Here is an 18,974-nt window from a genome sequence, read left to right as displayed (position 1 = left end):
ATAAAGGGTACTTTCTTGAAAAGTCATTAGCTACCGTACTTGAATTAGAGGCAAGGGAGATTGGGATACGTTGAACTGGAGCTTCACAAAATCTGTGATTCAAGATTGTCAGTGCAGAATCCCAAATCCCTTAAAGGTTCAGATCTACTAAGTAACAAGTCAAGTACCTAGCAAACAAGTAAAAAACTAAGTGAATAGAAGTGTTCTCCAGCTAGGCACGATGGCTCACCCCTGTAATCCCAGCACTTTGGGAGGCAGAGGCGGGCAGATCACGAGGTCAGGAGATCGAGACCATCCTGGCCAACACGGTGAAGCCCCATCTCTACTAAAAATACAAAAATTAGCTGGGTGTGGTGGCACATGCCCGTAATCCCAGCTACTCAGGAGGCTGAGGAAGGAGAATCACTTGAACCCGGGAGGCAGAGGTTGCAGTGAGCCGAGATCACGCCACTGCACTCCAGTCTGGGGAACAGAGCGAGACTCTGTCTCAAAAAAAAAAAAAAAGAAAGAAAGAAAAGAAAAGAAAGAAAAGGACCTTATGACAAAGGGAAAGCCTAGGAATGTCCTTTTTGAAAACCCCAAGGTAGACCCACGTCAAATGAATCTGCCCCATCCAGATTGGCTGGCCTATTAGTTTAGGTCTGTGAAAATAGTACTATAACTATGTCTTACCATTTCCTTACAAAGTCACAGGAAACAGGATTTGCTAAAAGAAAACAAAAGTAAAAGCAAAAATTAGATTCAACAGGAATCAAAGATATGATTAAGATAGCATCACAAATTAAAAGAGAAAGGAGTTAGAAAAAAATATTTGGGGAAATGGCCAACTGAAATATATCATAGTATGTACCAAAATAAACCAAAGGTAAATCAAGGAGTTAAGTATTTTAAAAACTGAATTAGAGGAAATAAGAGAATATCTACTTGATCCCTGGATTTTAATCTTCTAGAGTTAAAGCTGGCAAAAGATATAAAGGACAATATAAATAGATTAAAATACTTAAAATTTCTGTGTCAAAAATTAAACCTTAAAGATGACAGAAAAATTTGGAGGAATATTTGGCAATAAATATGATAAAGGGTTAATAGTCTTAACATTTGAAGAGTATAAATGTACAGATTATAAGAAAAACACTAAGGTAAGTGTCAAAATTAAATAGACAAAGGATGAGAACAGAATTCACATATGAAGATATATAAAGGGCTAATAACTAACATAAGTAAAAGTTCATCAGCACTACAGGAAAGGTAAAAAAAACAGAAAGAGAACGCTCAAACTTGCTTATAATCAAAACAATGCAAAAAATGAGATTTTTCTTTAAACTGGCAAATTGGCAAAATTTTTTTGCAAAGTATAAAGATGTTGGAAGGGTAAGATGAAATGAGTCCTTCTGTGCATTGCTGGTAAAAGTCTAAATTAGTATATTTTATGAAAAATAATTTGATAGTGTCAGTAATGTTTACATGTCTTAGTCCAATTCTATTTATAGAAATGGACCCTAAAGAAATAATTCAAGTGTGGGCAAAGATTTATGCAGAAAAATCTTCATTGTGGTATCTTTAACAGTGGGAAATTAGGTAATCCTGAAATGTCCAAAACAGAAGAAATGGTTAAGCTAATGAAAAATCTCGTTTATAAGCTGGGTTTTTTTGTTTTTTTGTTTTAATGTGGAAAAATGTAGGTGATCCCATAGGCCTTATAATGATGGATTGCTCCAGAGTCTTTTCTTGGGAGTTTTTAATCCCATCCAAGAGTTTTGAAATAACATTGTCTAGAATGTTTTTGGTAAAGAAAAGTGGGTGCGCTACAGCATCAGACAGACCTGGCTCAAACCTCAGTTTTGTTGCTTACTCCACTGTACAATCTTGGGTAAATTAATTTCTCAGGGATTTAGTTTTCCCTTCTCAGATAGGAGGATTAATAGGTCTGTGTAAAGATTACTGATAAACAGCCTCGTGCAGTGGCTCATGCCTGTAATCCCAGCACTTTGGGAGGCCAAGGCAGGCAGATCACCTGAGGTCAGGAGTTCGAGATCAGCCTAGCCAAGATGGTGAAACCCTGTCTCTACTGAAAATACAAAAATTAGCCACTCATAGTGGTGTGTGCCTGTAATCCCAGCTACTTGGGAGGCTGAGGCAGGAGAATTGCTTGAACCTGGGAGGCGGAGGTTGCAGTGAGCCAAGATTGCACCACCGCACTTCAGCCTGGGCAACAAGAGAGAAACAACTCCATCTCAAAAAAAAAAAAAAAAAGAGAATTAGTAATAAAACAAGATTAGTGTATACATGTACATCACTTACATATATATGTATAGCATCTTGCATATGGTAGATGAATGGTAGTTACAATTATTGGTTACAACTTCAGTGTATCAATGGCTTAAATAGAGCACTGTAGGAAACACAATTAACTATTCAACGAACTTGTGATTTGGCTCCTATAGGCAAGCATGGTGCCAGTATGGAGAGAACACAAATGACGAAGGTCTCTCTTCTCAAAAAGTTTACACTCCAGTGGGAGGCAGGCTATGAATTTAAACAAAAAAAAGTAAATGGAACTTTTAAATTCAGATATTTTCTGTTGTTCCAGACCTAAGGGAAAAGGGAGAGTAGTCTACAAAAATGTCCCTCACAGCCAGCCGTGCTGTCACCCATGAAAGTTGCAGCACTTATTCTATGGGCTTTTTATGTATTACCAACCTTGCCTTTCAGCTTTATGACCTGACACAGGTTAGAGAGTCAGTAAAAAACTGAATCAGTCCTAAAAGACCATCTATAAGTACTGATAATGTGAATGAATAACTCTTTGCTATTGCTCTTTCATACTATAATTTCTCCTATAGGTAAAGTTTTCACTCTTTATTTTAGAAAACACACTTTTGAGGTTATCTCACTAATTGGCAGGATGAAATAGCTCTCAGGTGGCTGTTGTTAGCTAATGTCCCAAGCAAAGCAGTGTTATAGTGGTTTCCAAATTTGTCCACAGATTAGAATCACCTGGAGATCTCTTACAAACTACAAGTCCCAGGCCACATCTCAGACCAATTAAGTCACAATCTCTGGGGAAGGGACACAGGCATCAGCATTTTTTGAAGCAGACAAGTTTGGGAACTGCTATCATATCATTTAATGGCTGAGACCACTGGCTCTGGAATCAGAGTTCCCGGAACGAAATTTTGGCTCTAACTTCTGATCTAAGGCAAGTTTATTTAGGCTCTCTGCAACTAAGTATTTTCACGACTGAGTTCTTGCTTCAAAAAGTTGTTAGAGGAAAGTTAAATAATACAAGGAAAGCACTCTGCACAGTGTCCAAAACACAGCACTATAAATGAAATCCATTATTAATTCTAAGAATTTAGGAATTAAGATTCTGCTTAAATTTCTGTGAATTAAAAAAAATGTGGCTGGGCACGGTGGCTTATGCCTGTAATCCCAACACTTTGGGAGGCCAAGGCAGGTAGATCACCTGAGGTCAGGAGTTCAAGACCAGCCTGGCCAACATGGCGAAACCCCATCTCTACTAAAAATAACAAAAATTAGCTGGGTGTGGTGGCGGGCGTCTGTAATCCCAGCGACTCAGGAGGCTGAGGCAGGAGAATCGCTTGAACCCAGGAGGCAGAAGTTGCTGTGAGCCGAGATCATGCCATTGCACTCCAGCCTGGGGGACAAGAGCGAAACTCCGTCTCAAACAAACAAACATAAACAAAAATGTTTAAGTAATTGTTAAGGAAGTGTTTACTATTAAGGGTTCCAACTGCTTTTTTTTTTTTTTTTTTTGAGACAGGGTCTCTCTGTTGCCCAGGCTAGAGTGCAGTAGCGCAATCATCACTCACTGCAACCTCCACCTCCCCAGTTCAAGCGATTCTCGTGCCTCAGTCTCCCGAGTAGCTGGGACTACAGGTGTGTGCCACCAAGCCACGCTAATTTTATTTTTTGTAGACAGGGTCTCACTATGGTGCCCAGGCTGGTCTTGAACTCCTGGGCTCCAGCAATCCTCCTACCTTGGCCTCCCAAAGTGCTGGGCATGAGTCACCACACGTAGCCATGAAAATTATTAGTAAAATGTTAAACCTACTTTGTAAACATGTACTCACATGTATTTTCATTGGTTTATGTGTTTCTACCCTCCCTTCATTTCTAAAAGGATTTGAGGTTGCTTACATAAACAGACTACAATAGGATATGTCTGTTTTTAGATGAAAAACTCAAGGAAAGAGAAAAATAGTCAGGAGAAGGGTAAGAAAAATAAGGGAAGCATAGATAATAAAGCCTAGCATAGTTGTATCAGAGCTTTCTACCAGGGAAAGAAAGACACCAGCTGTTCCTAACAGTGGAATCTTTTAGGAGGAGGGTGGAGCAGGGGCTTCATCACCATGTATTTCTTTCTTGTGTTTGTTTTCTCTCTCATAGATTAGTCAATCACATGCAAATGTCAGTAGCCCGGCCGCAGACTAGGATTTACACTGACACAGCTGCGCCGGGCGGGTCTGTGTGGACAGCATTGTCCTCAGTGGTATAGGACAGGCTCGATGGCCCCGGGCGTGCTGGCCACCACCTTGCGGACAGTCGTCTCGGGGACACAGAAGCGCAGCCTGCGATGGGCTTTCCTGTTGAGAATGCTGCCGTTGCTGAGCTTTCTGGTCAGTGTTGCAGAGGATGACGTAGTTGTGCAGGTCCACAAGCGGGTCTGGAACTGCTCCACAGTCTCCCTCCCGCCCTCGGGCCAGGTGGCGCTCCAGACGGCGGAGCCAGAGCGCGTGCGGCCGGCAACCAGGCCACCAGGGGGCGCAGGTTGGCAGCGGCTGGAGGGCTGCGGGGCTCGGCCTAGCGGAGCCCAGCAACTCGAACTGCGACACAAGTTGAAATTTAAAAAAAAAAATCTCTCGGATGAGGTCTTAACTGGTGTTATACAAGGAGCAACATAATTATAAAACGTTGGTGGAAAGCCAAATAGAACCCTATTTTTTTTACGTTTTTTCGCCTCTTCAAAGTTTATTCCTGATTTGTGTTGCATGAAACTAAGTTAAAAAAAATAGTTTCCAGTGAAGTACTATAAATGACTGAGTATGAGGCATGATTTTCCCCAAAAAATTATTCTTCAGTAAAGGTTACCGTATATGCAAGCTCTTAAAAGAACCCATCTTAAGAGGTGCTTTCTCAATTGCTTTATTTTCTCAACAAAGAACTGGGCAAGGAAAACGTATTGGGGCCGGGCACGGTGGTTCACACCTGTAATCCCAGCACTTTGGGAGGCCAAGGCGGGCGGATCACTTGAGCTCAGGAGTTCGAGACCAGCCTGGCCAACATGGTGAAATTCCATCTCTACAAAAAATACAAATATTAGCCGGGCGTGGTGGCTCACACCTGTAATCCCAGCTACTCGGGAGGCTGAGGCACGAGAATCACTTGAGCCCAGGAAGCAGAGGTTGTTGCAGTGAGCCTAGGTAGGGCCATAGCACTCCAGCCTGGGCAAGAGAGCGAGACTCCATCTCTCTCTCTCTCTCTCTCTCTCTCTCTCTCTCACATACACACACACACACACACACTCTCTCTCTCTCTCTCTCTCACATACACACACACACACACACACACACACACACTCTCTCTCTCTCTCTCTCTCAATATATGCTAGAATGGGAAAAGTACAGAGTTCTCCCTACCAAAATTAATAGGTTAAGCGAAGGAAAGGAATAAGAAATTCAAAACAGATTTAGTAATTATTCTTGGGAATATAATCTCATAATCCTAAATGCTAGGTGTTGTTCTAAAGCTTTAAACATTATTTTATTTATTTATTTATTTATTTGAGACAGAATCTCACTCTGTCACCCAGGCTGGAGTGCAGTGGCGCAATTGGCTCACTGCAACCTCTGCCTCCCGGGTTCAAGTGATTCTTGTGCCTCAGCCTGCCAAGTAGCTGGGACTACTGGTGCACACCACGACACCTGGCAAATCTTTGTATTTTTAGTATAGAAGGGGTTTTGCCATGTTGGCCAGGCTGGTCTCAAACTCCTGGCCTCAACTGACCACCAGCGTCTGCCTCTCAAAGTGCTGGGATTACAGGTGTGAGCCACCATGCCCAGCCCTAAACTTTATTTTAAAAAGCAAAACATGGCTGGGCGCGGTGGCTCACGTCTGTAATCCGAGCACTTTGGGAGGCCAAGGTGGGCAGATCACGAGGGCAGGAGGTCGAGACCATCCTGGCTAACACGGTGAAACTCCGTCTCTACTAAAAATACAAAATATTAGCCTGGTGTGGTGGCGGGCGCCTGTAGTCCCAGCTACTCGGGAGGCTGAGGCAGGAGAATGGCGTGAACCCGGGAGGCGGAGCTTTCAGTGAGCCAAGATCGCACCCCTGCACTCCAGCCTGGAGACTCCGTCTCAAAAAAAAAAAAGCAAAACATAAACACAAAACGCAATAAACCACATAGTGATTGTATTGTAAAGGTAAAAGTACACGTACAGGATGAATTTTTTTTTTTAAGTTCCTACTTTTACATGACATGAATGGGTTCTGATGGCTCGTGATAATTTCCAGTGACAACATCAAACACAGGTTCAAAGGGACCCTGTCTTACTCCTAACAAAATAATAGAATCTAATAAAATAATGGTATCTAGGCAGTGAACAAGACTGGTTGTTGAAACCATCTGGTGAAAGGTGGATTGGAACTAACGTTGAGGGATCAGGGCTGACCTCACCTGAACCCACTCATCAATCTTACATTCCCCACAAGTGGGAGAGCCAGAGGATGCGCCTTACTCAAAGTGTGATGCTAGAGGAAGAGCACGTTCAGCACCACCTATCAAAGAACCTTGCCAAAAATAATTTATTCTGAGTTGAAGCAAGCCTCTTAATCTGCAATATGGGATATTTTACCGAATTTTCCTGACAAATAAATGGTGTTTCTAAAAGGGAGAGAGGACAAGGTCTATTGATGAAGAATAACAGAGACAAACAGACTGTAGGGGAGAAAACATAAGTTATTTTCTTCCCCTTTTTAAGATCTTAGTTGAGACACTCTCCTAAAAAAAAAAAAAAGGTAAATTAACAAAAGAAAAACAAGCAGAAGTTTATGAACATGAGCCATACCCATCATGCAGGAGAGGTCTCAGTTCAAAAGTATTTCTCTCTCAACGCAGTGGTTTGGGGGCTTTGCTTAAATAGAATTTTAACAAAGAGCCATACATGCTATACAGTGGCCAGAGAAAGGAGAAAGCAGTTGTGGTCTTTTTAAAGTCAGGAAAATGTGGGAAGATAGTAAAATCTGTTCCCAGATTTCTCTGTTGCCTGCTAGTGCCTTCTCCAGTAAGGAAGGGTTGATGTCCCCGCCGCCAGGCAAACAGAGCCTGAGGCAGATCATTCCTCTGCGTTTTCATTGTCTTTTACTTAACATTCATCAGTATTTTGGTTTCCTTCAAGACCTAACTCCCAAATGCAATGTGAGGCTCTTGTTTAAGTCCTAATTTGAACAAATCAACTGTAAAAATATGTTTTTGAGACAATTAGGGAAACATGTATTTAGTGGGCATTAAAGAATAATTGTGGCAGGGCATGACAGCTCATGCCTGTAATCCTAGCACTTTGGGAGGCTGAGGTGGGAGGATCGTTTGAGATCAGGAGTTCAAGACCAGCCTGGGCAACCTAGGAAGACTCCATCTCTATAGAAAAAAGAAAGAAAGAAAGAATAATTGTAAATTTTGTTTGGTGTAATTATGACATGATAATTATGTGGCTTTTTAAAAATCCTTAGCAATTAGAGATGCATACTGAGGTATTTATGGGTAAAATGACATGGTATCTGGCAGTTTCTTTAAAACAAATTTGTCCTACAGGATGCCCAAAAATTAGGATTGGGGGGTGCCTAGATGAAACAATATTCAAAAACAGTGTTAATTATTGAAACTACGTAATGGGTACATAGGGGTTTATTATAACATACTCTATTTTGTGTATGTTAAGAAATTTCCATAATAAAAAAATATTTTACGTTTTTCTATCTCAAATAACTTAGAAATAAAAACAATGTGCCCTTAAAAAGTGTATTAAATTACTCAAAAAATGACTCTAGTGATGTCAAATATGCAAGTGAAAAAATTAATAAAACTGTTTTCCATGAAATCTGACATTAGGAATAAATATTTCTAAATTATACCATTTATTTTAATATGTTACTTTTATTTTTTAATTTAAATTTTTGTAATACAATTATAAACATTTGTCTATTTTAGCTCTATTTTTTAAAGTTTATATATTCAAATTGGCAAAAACATTTAAATGTCGTTATATTCAAGAATATACAGTAATTGCACTTTGGCAATATCTTGTTATATCAAATTAAGCAGTTATATTAAAATATAGACTCTCAACATTTGTTCATAGTGATTGGCCAGTCTAGCCACTTCATTTCACTAGAAAGGAAACAGACACACAGCTATGACGTAACCGAAAGTAAATCACAAGTTTCCTAACTCCTAGTCCAGTGCTCTTCGCAACAGAACCAAGTTTCCTCTTCTACTAAATGTATGCTCCAATTGAAATCCCCAGGATGCAACTGGAGCCATGACTCCTGGGCACAGCAGTGTTCAAACATTGACATTTCTTTGGGGACAGTAGGGAGGAGTTGACACATCCAATCCATCCTCATTGGCTGATTTTCCTGTAGTACAATTCCAGTATCACTTTCTGTCCCCAAAATGTTCCCCAGCCCACTCTTCCAGAGAAAATAGCAGCGGTGCTTCTTTTCTTCCATTTAAGGGGCCTGACCTATCTCGTCAGTAGTTCACAGGCTTTGGACGAACTGATGGGCTTTGGCTGTCTTTCTTTTCTTTCTTTCTTTCTCTCTTTTCTTTCTTTCTCTTTCTTCCTTTCTTTTCCTTCTTTCTCTCTCTTTCTTTCTTTCTTTTTCATTCACCACTGATCAGAAGGTATTATATGGCTTTTGTTTTGTTTTGAGACAGAGTCTCACTCTGTCACCCAGGCTGCAGTGCAGTGGTGCGATCTCGGCTCACTGCATCCTCTGCCTACCGGGTTCAAGCGATTCTCCTGCCTCAGCCTCCTGAGTAGCTGGGCTTACAGGCGTGCACCACCACTCCCGGCTAATTTTTGTATTTTTAGCAGAGGCAGGGTTTTGGCATGTTGGCCAGGCTGGTCTTGAACTCCTGACCTCAGGTGACCCACCTGCCTCAGCCTCCCAAAGTGCTGGGATTACAGGCGTGAGCCACCATGCCTGGCCCATGATATGGCTTTGAATGCCGGTCCTCCACTATATGCATGGAGACAACATGCCAAGTCTCACATTCTTCATCTGTAAAATGGGGATGCAAATAGTACTTACTTCAAAGGGTTGTCTTAAGGATAAAATGAGATTACATTAAATATTTAAAACACTCAATGAACATAAGCTACTATTAATATGAGCTCAGTAACTCTTGAGTGAATCTAGAAAGTGTTCAGGAATGGCCATATGAATGACTTTTATGCTGACTTTACCCATTCATTTTAAGCTTTGGAATAGAGAAGGATAAAGAAACTTAAATCCCTGTCCAAGGTCATGCAGCTTACCTTTCAGGTAGAAAGACAGACAACAAGCAAGTAAATAACTTCAGATAGTGGTAAGCGCTGGGAAGGAAATAAATCAGTGTGATGTGGCTGGTAAGGCAGAAGGAGAGGGTGCCTACTTTAGGGAGAGAAGTCAGGGCCTTCCTGAAGTAGCATGGTCATGAGACTCTCTCTAAAAAGTTTTCAGACTCTGCTTTAGAAAACACTACATTAAGGCAGGCACGGTGGCTCACACCTGTAACGTCAGCACTTTGGGAGGCTGAGGCAGGCAGATCACTTGAGGTCAGGAGTTTGAGACCAGCCTGGCCAACATGGTGAAACCCTGTCTCTACTAAAAATACAAAAATTAGCTGGGTGTGGTGGTGCAGGCCTGTAATCCCAGCTACTCAGGAGGCTGAGGCAGGAGAATCGCTTGAACCTGGGAGGCAGAGGTTGCAGTGAGCTGAGATTGCACCATTGCACTCCAGCCTTGGCAACAAGAGCAAAACTCCATCTCAAAAAAATAAATAAGTAAAAAATAAAAAGAGGTTATTGTTGCCACTTAACTCAGAAAAATGAAGTGCTTGTCCTGTAGGATACTCCAGTACATTTTACTTTGTATGCTGTGGATGTGTTATTGTTGTAGATATATTCAGCCTCCCCAACCACAGAAATAGTTCTTCAAGGAAGGAATCCATGTCTTATTCATCTACAGCTCACTACCTACACCATAAACATAGTATGCGCTCAATAAAGTTCAGCAATAACAGTGATGATTAGGTGATGATACTATTGTTAGGTGATAGAATAATAGAACCGACTCTATAAATTTTTTAAATTTGGCACACAACCAAAATGCCATGTCTTAGTCATCTTTGCACTCCATAGGACACAGAAGAGTGACTTAGTAGTCGCTCAATAAATGTTGGATGAAGAAAAATCTTATTGAGTGAGTAGAGGCACGGGGATGTGCTAATTATTGCCCAATGTTTACACCACTTTTTGTAAATATTATATAAATATACTTAGTGTTTGTTGAGCTTTACTAAAGGAATTAATGTAAAGACTTACTGGAATTGACAAGGAAAATCTAGAAGACAAATTGAGAAGGTAGAAGGCTTTAAAGTAGTCTTTTCTTTTGTTTTGCTTTTTTGAGATGGAGTCTTGCTCTGTTGCCCAGGCTGGAGTGCAGTGGCATGATATTGGCTCACTGCAACCTCCACCTCCCGGATTCAAGTGATTCTCCTACCTCAGCCTCCAGAGTAGCTGGGATTACAGGCACATGCCACCATGCCTAGCTAATTTTTATATTTTTAGTAGAGCTGGGGTTTCACCATGTTGGCCAGGCTGGTCTTGAACTCCTGACCTCAGGTGATCTGCCTGCTTAGGCCTCCCAAACCATTACAGGCTTGAGCCACCATGCCCGGCCTAAAATAATGTTTTCTAAAGCAAAGTCTGAAAACTTTTTAGAGAAAGTCTCATGACCATGTGACTTCAGGAAGGCTGCTTTAGGTAGCATGGACAGGAAAAGCCCTACAAAAGATTAGCTTTCCCACCTCTTAAAAACAGGCTGAGACCCAGTAATAGAAATTAGCCATGAGAGAATCCTGGGAAAAAAATAGGCATGCCAGGTAGAGAGAACCACAGATGCAGACTCTGAAGCAGGCAAGTATAGGGGTTCACCTTTTGGAGGAACAGAAAGGAAGCCAGTATGACTGAGACCAAGTGAGCATGAGGGCGAGTGATAGGGGATGTCAGAGACCCCGTGGAGCTCTACACACTGCTGCAGGAAGCTTGGATTTATTGTAAGAGCAATGAGATGCCACAGGAAGGACTATAAGGGAAAGACATGATCTGATTCATTTTTAAAATACCCACTCTGGCTGCGGTAGCCATAGGGCTGCAGGGGACAAGAGTAGACACAGGCAGACTTGTCAGGAAACTCATGTAGAAATCCAGGTGAAGCTAGGCACGGTGGCTCACGCCTGTAATCCCAGCACTTTGGGGGGCCGAGGCGGGCAGATCACAAGGTCAGGAGATCAAGACCATCCTGGCTAACATGGTGAAACCCCGTCTCTACTAAAAATACAAAAAAATTAGCCGGGCGTGGTGGCGGGCACCTGTAGTCCCAGCTACTCGGGAGGCTGAAGCAGGAGAATGGCGTGAACCCGGGAGGTGGAGCTTGTAGTGAGCCGAGATCGCGCGCCACTGCACTCCAGCCTGGGCGACAGAGCGAGACTCGTCTCAAAAAAAAAAAAGAAAAGAAAAGAAATCCAGGTGAGAAGTGACCACAACTGGACAACTGGAGTGAGTGTGTTAGCAGCAGAAATTAATAAATTCAGGAAATATTCTTGAGATAAAACTGATAGAACTTTCATTGGGTGCATTGTACTTGAAGGTGAGGCAAGAAGAATAGATTTTCTTTAGCTTGAGTAACTTCAAGATATTTTCTTAGATGGGGGAGACTGAAGGAAGAACAAGGCTGGAAGGGAAATCAAGACTTCTGTTTGAAAAAGTATAGTCAATTTGAGAAACATATGATACATGCAAATGGAGATGTCCAGGAGGCAGTTGAATATGTAAGTGTCAGACTCAGAGAAGAGAGAGAATATAAAAATTTAGAAGGCAGCAGCATAGAAATGCTAAACTCTTGAGTGAGTGTGGTTATGACCACCTAGGGGTAAAAGTGTAAATATTTTTTAAAGGAGTCAGGACAGAGCCCGCAAGAATTCAAGAATTCAGAGAGGGTTCAGCAAAGGAGCCTGAGAAGGAGAAACAGTCAGGTGGATGCTAAACTAGGAGACTATGGTGTCACAGAGGCCACGAGAAGGGAGTAGCCAGTTGTGTTAGATGCTGCCTAGAGGTTTAATGAGATAATAATACTAATACATTGGCCGGGCGTGGTGGCTCATGCCTGTAATCCCAGCACTTTGTGAGGCTGAGGTGAGCGGATCACCTAAGGTCAGGAGTTCAAGACCAGCCTGGCCAACATGGTGAAACCCTGTCTCTACTAAAAATACAAAAATTAGCCAGGCATGGTGGTGCATACTTGTAATCCCAGCTACTCTGGAGGCTGAGACAGGAGAATCGCTTGAACCCAGGAGGCGGACTTTGCAGTGAGCCAAGATCATGCCACTGCACTCCAGCCTGGGAAACACAGCAAGCCTCCATCTCAAAATAGTAATAATAATAATAACACTACAACACTACTACTACTACTAGCTAACATCTACTGAGCACTTACAATGTACCACATCTGTTCTAAGACCTTTATGGGTATTAACTCTTTGAATCTTTTTGACAATGCTAACGATAGAGAAGAAACCATTGGATTTGGTAACACAGCGGTCAAATGAAGAGATCTTTCATTCAACAACAATTAATTCCTGACTTGTTCCAGGCAAGCTTGAGGCACTAAGGATGAAAGACAAAGGTCCTGCCTCCATAAGAGCTTAACGTAAAAGAGTAAACAAATAGATATATCATGCAGCCCCATAAGTGTCTCAAAGAAAATGAGCAGGCCAATAATGCTGTTTTTGGTACCCCATGAAAAGGAGATGACAAGTTATTTGAAACAAGAGTGCCCTGGCAGAGGAGAAAGCAAGTGAAATGATCCTGAGCTCAGAGCAAGGATGCCCATGTGCCTGCAGAGCAAAAACCGACAGGGGAGTAGTAGGACATGATGTCATGGACATATCAGGTCAAGTTCAAGGTGAGGTTAGTGACAGGCTCAGATCAAGTGGGGCCTTGTAGGCCTGCTAAGGACTTTAGAGCAGGGGTTCCCAACCCCCGGGCTGTGGACTGGTTTTGTCTGTGGCCTGTTAGGAGCCAGGCTACACAGCAGGAGGTGAGTGGCAGGGGAGCAGGCATTACAGCCTCAACTCCGCCTCCTGTCAGATCAGTGGTGGCATTACATTCTCACAGAAACAAACCCTATCGTGAACTGCGCGTGCGCATGTGAGGGATCTAGCTTGCTGGGTCCTTATGAGAATCTAACTAATGATTGATAGATTGATCTGAAGTGGAACAGTTCCCCCCACCCCTTGAAAAAACTGTCTTCCACGAAACCCGTCCCTGGTGCCAAAAAGGTTGGGGATCCCTGCCTTAGAGGTGAGAACCCTGCCTGAGGTGAGAACCCATTCTGGAGGGTTGAGAGCAAGAGAACTGCATATAATTTATGTTCTAAGGGACTTCTGTGACCAGTGTAGGTATAATGAACCGGGGATGGTGCAAGACAAGAACCCAGCTGGAGGCTACTGCAGTGGACCTGTAGCAGGACGAGGCACAGACAAAACCCCTCAGACACCGAGTTAAAGAAGGAAGGGCTTTATTCGGCTGGGAGCATCAGCAAGACTCATGTCTCAAAAACTGAGCTCCCCGAGTGAGCAATTCCTGTCCCTCTTAAGGGCTTACAACTCTAAGGGGGTCTGCATGAGAGGGTCATGATCGATTGAGCAAGCAGGGGGTACGTCACTGGGGGCTGCATGCACCAGTAATTAGAACAGAACAGAACAGGACAGGGATTTTCACAGTGCTTTTCCATACAATGTATGTAATCTATAGATAACATAACCAATTAGGTCAGGGGTCGATCTTTAACGACCAGGCCCAGGGTGTGGCGCTGGGCTGTCTGCCTGTGGATTTCATTTCTGCCTTTTAGTTTTTACTTCTTTCTTTGGAGGCAGAAATTGGGCATAAGACAATATGCGTGGTGGTCTCCTCCCTTAGACCAGGCAAGAGATGATAGTGGCTTACAAAGATGATGACATTTTAAATGTTAAGAAATGGCCATAGTCAGGATATAGCTCAAAGTTACAATTTGCTAATGGCTTAAAGTCTGAGTGTAAGAGAAAAACAGGCGTCAAGAATGATGCTAAGGTTTTTAGGCACCTGGATAAATAAATGGTGGTGCCATTTGCTGAAATGGGAAACAATGAGGGAAGAGCACATATGGGTGCTGCAGGAAGACTTCATTGGTGGGCACATTATGGTTTTTTTGTTGTTGTTGTTGTTTGTTGTTGTTGTTGAGATGGAGTTTCACTCTTGTTGTGCAGGCTGGATTGCAATGGTGCAATCTTGGCTCACTGCAACTTCCACCTCCCAGGTTCAAGCGATTCTCCTGCCTTAGCCTCCCGAGTAGCTGGGATTACAGGCATGCGCCACCACGCCTAGCTATTTTTTTTGTATTTTTAGCAGAGACGGGGTTTCACCATGTTGGCGAGGCTGGTCTCGAACCCCTGACCTCAGGTAATTCACCCACCTGAGCCTCCCAAAGTGCTGGGATTACAGGCGTAAGCCACTGCACCCAGCCCACCTTATGTTTTACATGCCAAATTGATATTCAAGCGGGGACGATAAATCAATGACTGGTTATAAAACTTGAGTTTAGGGGAAAAACTGAGGCTAGAGATAATTTGGGAAGTTACCAGAATATAGTTAAGGCCATGGAACTGATGACCTCACCCAGGGAATAAGGAAAGTTCTAGAAGAATGAATCTGAGAGGACTAAGCCATTGGTCACTTCAACCTAAAGGCTGGGAAGAGGAGGATTCAGCAAAGGAAACTGACTAAAGAACAATCAGTGAGGTAGGACAACAGAGGTAGAGGCATCCCAGAAGTCAAGTAAAGAAGACTTCTAAGAAAATAAGAGGTTAATGTGTCAAATGAGTAAGATGAAGATGAAGAATTAGCCATTGAATTTCACAAGGCAGCGATCATTGTGACCTCAACAAAAGCCACTGCAGCTAAGTGGAGGGGATGAAAATGTAAGTGGTTCTCTAGAGAAGGGGGAAAAAGGGGGAAAGAGGACATGGATATGATGACTTGCAGGCAATTCAATTGAGAAATTTTTCCTCTAAAGCAGAGCAAAGAAATCATGGTACCTGGACGGGCACATGGGGTTCAAGGAAGGTTTGGGGTTTCTTAAAGATAAGAGTTATTGTGCATTTTGCTGTTGTCGTTGTTGTTGTTTGGTTAGTTGGTTTTAGTTTTTGTTTTTGTTCTTGAGACAGAGTCTTGTTCTGCTGCCCAGGCTGGAGTACAGTGGCATGATCATACCTCACTGTTGCCTCAAACTGCTGAGTCTGAGGTGATGCTCCTGCCTCAGTCTACCAGTAACTGGGGCTACAGGTATGTGCCACCATGCGTGGTTAATAATTTTTTTTTTTTTTTTGTAGAAAGGAGGTCTCACTATGTTGCTCAGGCTGATTTTGAATTCCAGCCTCAAGTGATCCTTCCACCTCGGCCTCTCAAAGTGCTGGGATTACAGATTTGAGGCACCGCATCCGGTCCATTGCACATGTTTGTATGCTGATGGGAATGATCCAGCAGAGGAGGAATACAATGATGCAGGAGAGAGAGGCTAATTTTAGGAGCAAAGAGCTTAAAGAAGTTAGATGGGATTGAAATCCAACATATAGATTGAGGGAAAGGCCTTTAATAAGAGCAAGGACATTTCATCCATTATTAACAGGAAAAAATGTAGAGTACATATGTATAGATGCTGGTATTTTGGTAGATTTCATGGTGGAAAGATATGTAGATCTTTCAGAATTTCTTCTATTCTCAGTGAAGAAAAAAGTGAAATCATCAGCTAAGAGCGAGGAGGAAAGGATGCATAAGGTTGAGGAATGAGAGCACTCACCATAATTTCTGGGACAGCTGGAAAATAAATTGACTGTGGAAATACAGTATGACTGGCAAGCAGCACTGAGAGCCCACTTGAAGTTCAGGGGCATGGATTTAAAGGTCAGTTATCATAGTTGGCATAGTTGTTTGCCTTTCTCTTGCCATTATCTGTTATTCCAAGTGCAGGCAAGGGTTCGATTTAACAAGGCAAGAATGACAGAGGGAGAGAGAATCAAGGGAGTAATTCCATTGTTGGTCCATGGAATATAAGGTGAGGAGAGACAGCAGGACATAAGATAGTGATATATAATGAAAAGTTCATAGGATCAATGGATTTGAAGTCCCTTAAGCTGAAAATTTGATAGGGGGGTTCATGGAGGAGTGAGCTGGAAAGCTAAGACATGGTTAGAGATTAGAGTGCTTGAAATAGTCTGGAAATGGTAGAGCAGTTAACAATGGCTTTGATAGTGGGTGCCTACGATGGGGTGAAGGACAAGATCTTTCCAAGTGAGGAGATCAGAGAACTGAGAAGCCAAATGGATCATCCAAGTGGATATGAAATCTCCATGCATGATGATAGGAGTGGCGGCAGAGAGAAAAGCAGTAAACTAGAGCAGTTTTGGGAGAGTAGAGGAAAGAAGCCTAACCAAATGTGTTGAGAATGAGAGGTGAAGAAATTGAGTCAGTGAGTATAGACAACTCTTTTGACAAGTTCTGCAATGAAGAACAACAGAGAAATGGGGGTGATGCTGGTGGAAGGGGAGAGTCTGAAAATGACATGGGGTCAAGAGTTATTTCAAGATGGAAGATTCTAGAATATGTGTATGATGGTACTGATTAATTAGGGAGAAATTGATGCTGTAGAAGAGAGAGGATAACTGCAGGAAGAAAGTTCTTCAGGAAATGAGAGTGGTATCTAAAGCATAAGTGAAGGATTTTGCTTTTCATTAAAAAAAAAGGCACAATTCTTCCCTGAAATATGAGAAAAGGCAGAATTCATGGGTACAGATGCGGGTAAAGCAATAGATCCATTGTAAGAAAATAAGGGATTTCATGATTGATCACTTCTATTTTCTCGATAAAGAATGGGGCAAAGTCTTCAGCTGGGTGGGGGGGTCAAAGGTGTGAAGTTTAGAGGAGAGTAAGGCAGTTAGTCATCTTCAGAGACTGGGAAAACCAACTTACTAAGGGAATAAAGTGAGCTTGCCAGGCAGTGCCAAGTGACCAGTTGAAATGAAATTGAAATAAACCAGACAGTATGACTGTGCAATTTTGCACAGCAAGAGTCAACTGCTGAGGTGTAGGAAGCGAGTAGATGGACGGCTGGGTTTAATCAGGGTTGAGGTTTTGTCAGAAGTATGATGGATAACCAGAGAGCCAATGGAATGGTGGAAGACATAAGGGAGCAACTGCAATGGCAGACCATGGAATCGAGGCTGGATAAGGAGCAGTCAGTGAGAACATAAGATAAAAATTGGTTTCCCAAAAGATTGGCGGTCCAATGAGGACAAATAATTGCTTTGGGTTGGGTCATTAGTGAGGGGTCATAAATGAGCGAGTGGGGTCAGAGCAAGGATGTTTATAACCAAGTCCCATCTGCTCTGTTACCTTGTGAAGGTGGTGAGGACTGAGCATATCGTGAGCACTTTGTAGATGCATACTCTTTGAATACTTGCTCAATGAATGCTTTGTTTCCACATGTGACCATATGCCAAACACTGACGAAAATATCCTCCCTTCAAGGATCACTCTCTTTAGTTAAAGAGAAAGATGAATGGTGAAATACAAGATCTTAAGTGCTCTAATAAGGGTAACATTCAAAGTGCAACCCAGAGGGATGCAATGACTAACTGTAGAGGCGAATGAAGAAGGGCTTCAAAAGGAGGTAACAATAGCTCATTAGATAGCAGTGGAAGACAAGAGATTCAGCTTCTCTCATTATCAGGGTGTCAGTTTCCCATCTGAGTCCCTTGAAACGCAAGGGCTGATGACTGCGAAGCAACAGGTAAATGACACGAGTTCTTTTCAATATGGCAAGCTCTTGCATGCAAACCTCCACCTTAGGACCCCCGGTTCTAGATGGGGCGTGGGTGCTCAGCGCGTGGGGAATGAGGGGAAGGGAGAAGCAGGAGAGGGGACGAGGGAAGGGGAACACCTACCACCCAGGAAAGACAGCTGAGGCCGTGGCGGGGCTCTGGTGATCAGAGAGGGGGAGATCATTACTGCGGCGCTGGGAAGCAACTCGGTTTCCTTGGCCTCGCGGGACTTGCGGGGCTCACGGGTGTGGCGGAGCTGGCGGGGTTCACGGGCCTTGAGGAGTTTGGGGGCTGCATGGGGCCCATGGAGTTCGTAAGGTGCATAGGAGTCCCGGGGCTTGTGGGGCGCATAGGGAGCGTGGGGCTCATAGGACTCATGAGGCTCATCACATTCCTCGGACTCGTCTCTCTGGTCTTGCTCCCTGACCTCCTCGGGTTCCTCGGGATTCTCGTGTTTCTCGGGATCCTCGGACTCCTCAAGCTCTCTGTGAGTGTCGAGAATCCTGAGCACAATGGGCTTCTGGAAGACTTCGGAGCAAGTGGATATTTCTGTTGAGACCTGCCCATCGGTCACCTCGGACGGCGCAGATGAACTTAGAAACTCTTGGTTCTCCATTCGCGCCAGAAGCTTCTGTCGCGCGCGGGACTCACCCTCCCGACTGGTTGCCCAGGCGCAGTTTGCTCTCTGCGCGATACGATAAGGGCTGCCGGGGCCCCCCGCGCCCAGCCCCGCCCCGAGCCCCGCCCCGAGCCCCGCCCCAGCCCTACACA

At 43.2% G+C, this 18,974-nt stretch overlaps 1 protein-coding gene across 7 annotated transcripts in view, besides 2 other annotated features; it reads right to left on the bottom strand.

Moving 5' to 3' along the window:
* SPMAP2L (sperm microtubule associated protein 2 like) overlaps positions 1-18,890 on the bottom strand; it is a 95,609-nt gene extending 76,719 nt beyond the window's left edge. For all 7 annotated transcript variants that reach the window (XR_941041.2, XM_011534357.2, XM_011534361.3 and 4 more), the window contains exons 1-2: positions 18,327-18,890; positions 673-706 (exon numbers count right to left, since the gene is read on the bottom strand). Coding sequence is in view for 6 of the 7 variants with exons in the window: in XM_011534357.2 (XP_011532659.1) it covers positions 673-706; positions 18,327-18,819 (527 nt within the window). In the remaining variant the exon portion in view is untranslated. The remainder of the gene's footprint in view (positions 1-672; positions 707-18,326) is intronic.
* Positions 4,682-4,871: a silencer, noted in NCBI's record as "silent region_15451". NCBI's record gives its function as "represses an Ori minimal core promoter by ATAC-STARR-seq in GM12878 lymphoblastoid cells {active_cell/tissue: GM12878}" and the evidence as "EXISTENCE:reporter gene assay evidence [ECO:0000049][PMID:35858748]".
* Positions 17,883-18,416: an enhancer, noted in NCBI's record as "H3K4me1 hESC enhancer chr4:57397246-57397779 (GRCh37/hg19 assembly coordinates)". NCBI's record gives its function as "activates a minimal SCP1, AML or CMV promoter by ChIP-STARR-seq in naive H9 embryonic stem cells {active_cell/tissue: H9 hESC(naive)}" and the evidence as "EXISTENCE:reporter gene assay evidence [ECO:0000049][PMID:30033119]".
* Positions 18,891-18,974: the final 84 nt, after the last annotated feature.

The sequence above is a fragment of the Homo sapiens genome, chromosome 4 (genome assembly GCF_000001405.40).
Source record: "Homo sapiens chromosome 4, GRCh38.p14 Primary Assembly".
NCBI classification, from domain to species: Eukaryota; Metazoa; Chordata; class Mammalia; order Primates; family Hominidae; genus Homo; species Homo sapiens.
This window is presented reverse-complemented; position numbering and strand designations above follow the sequence as displayed.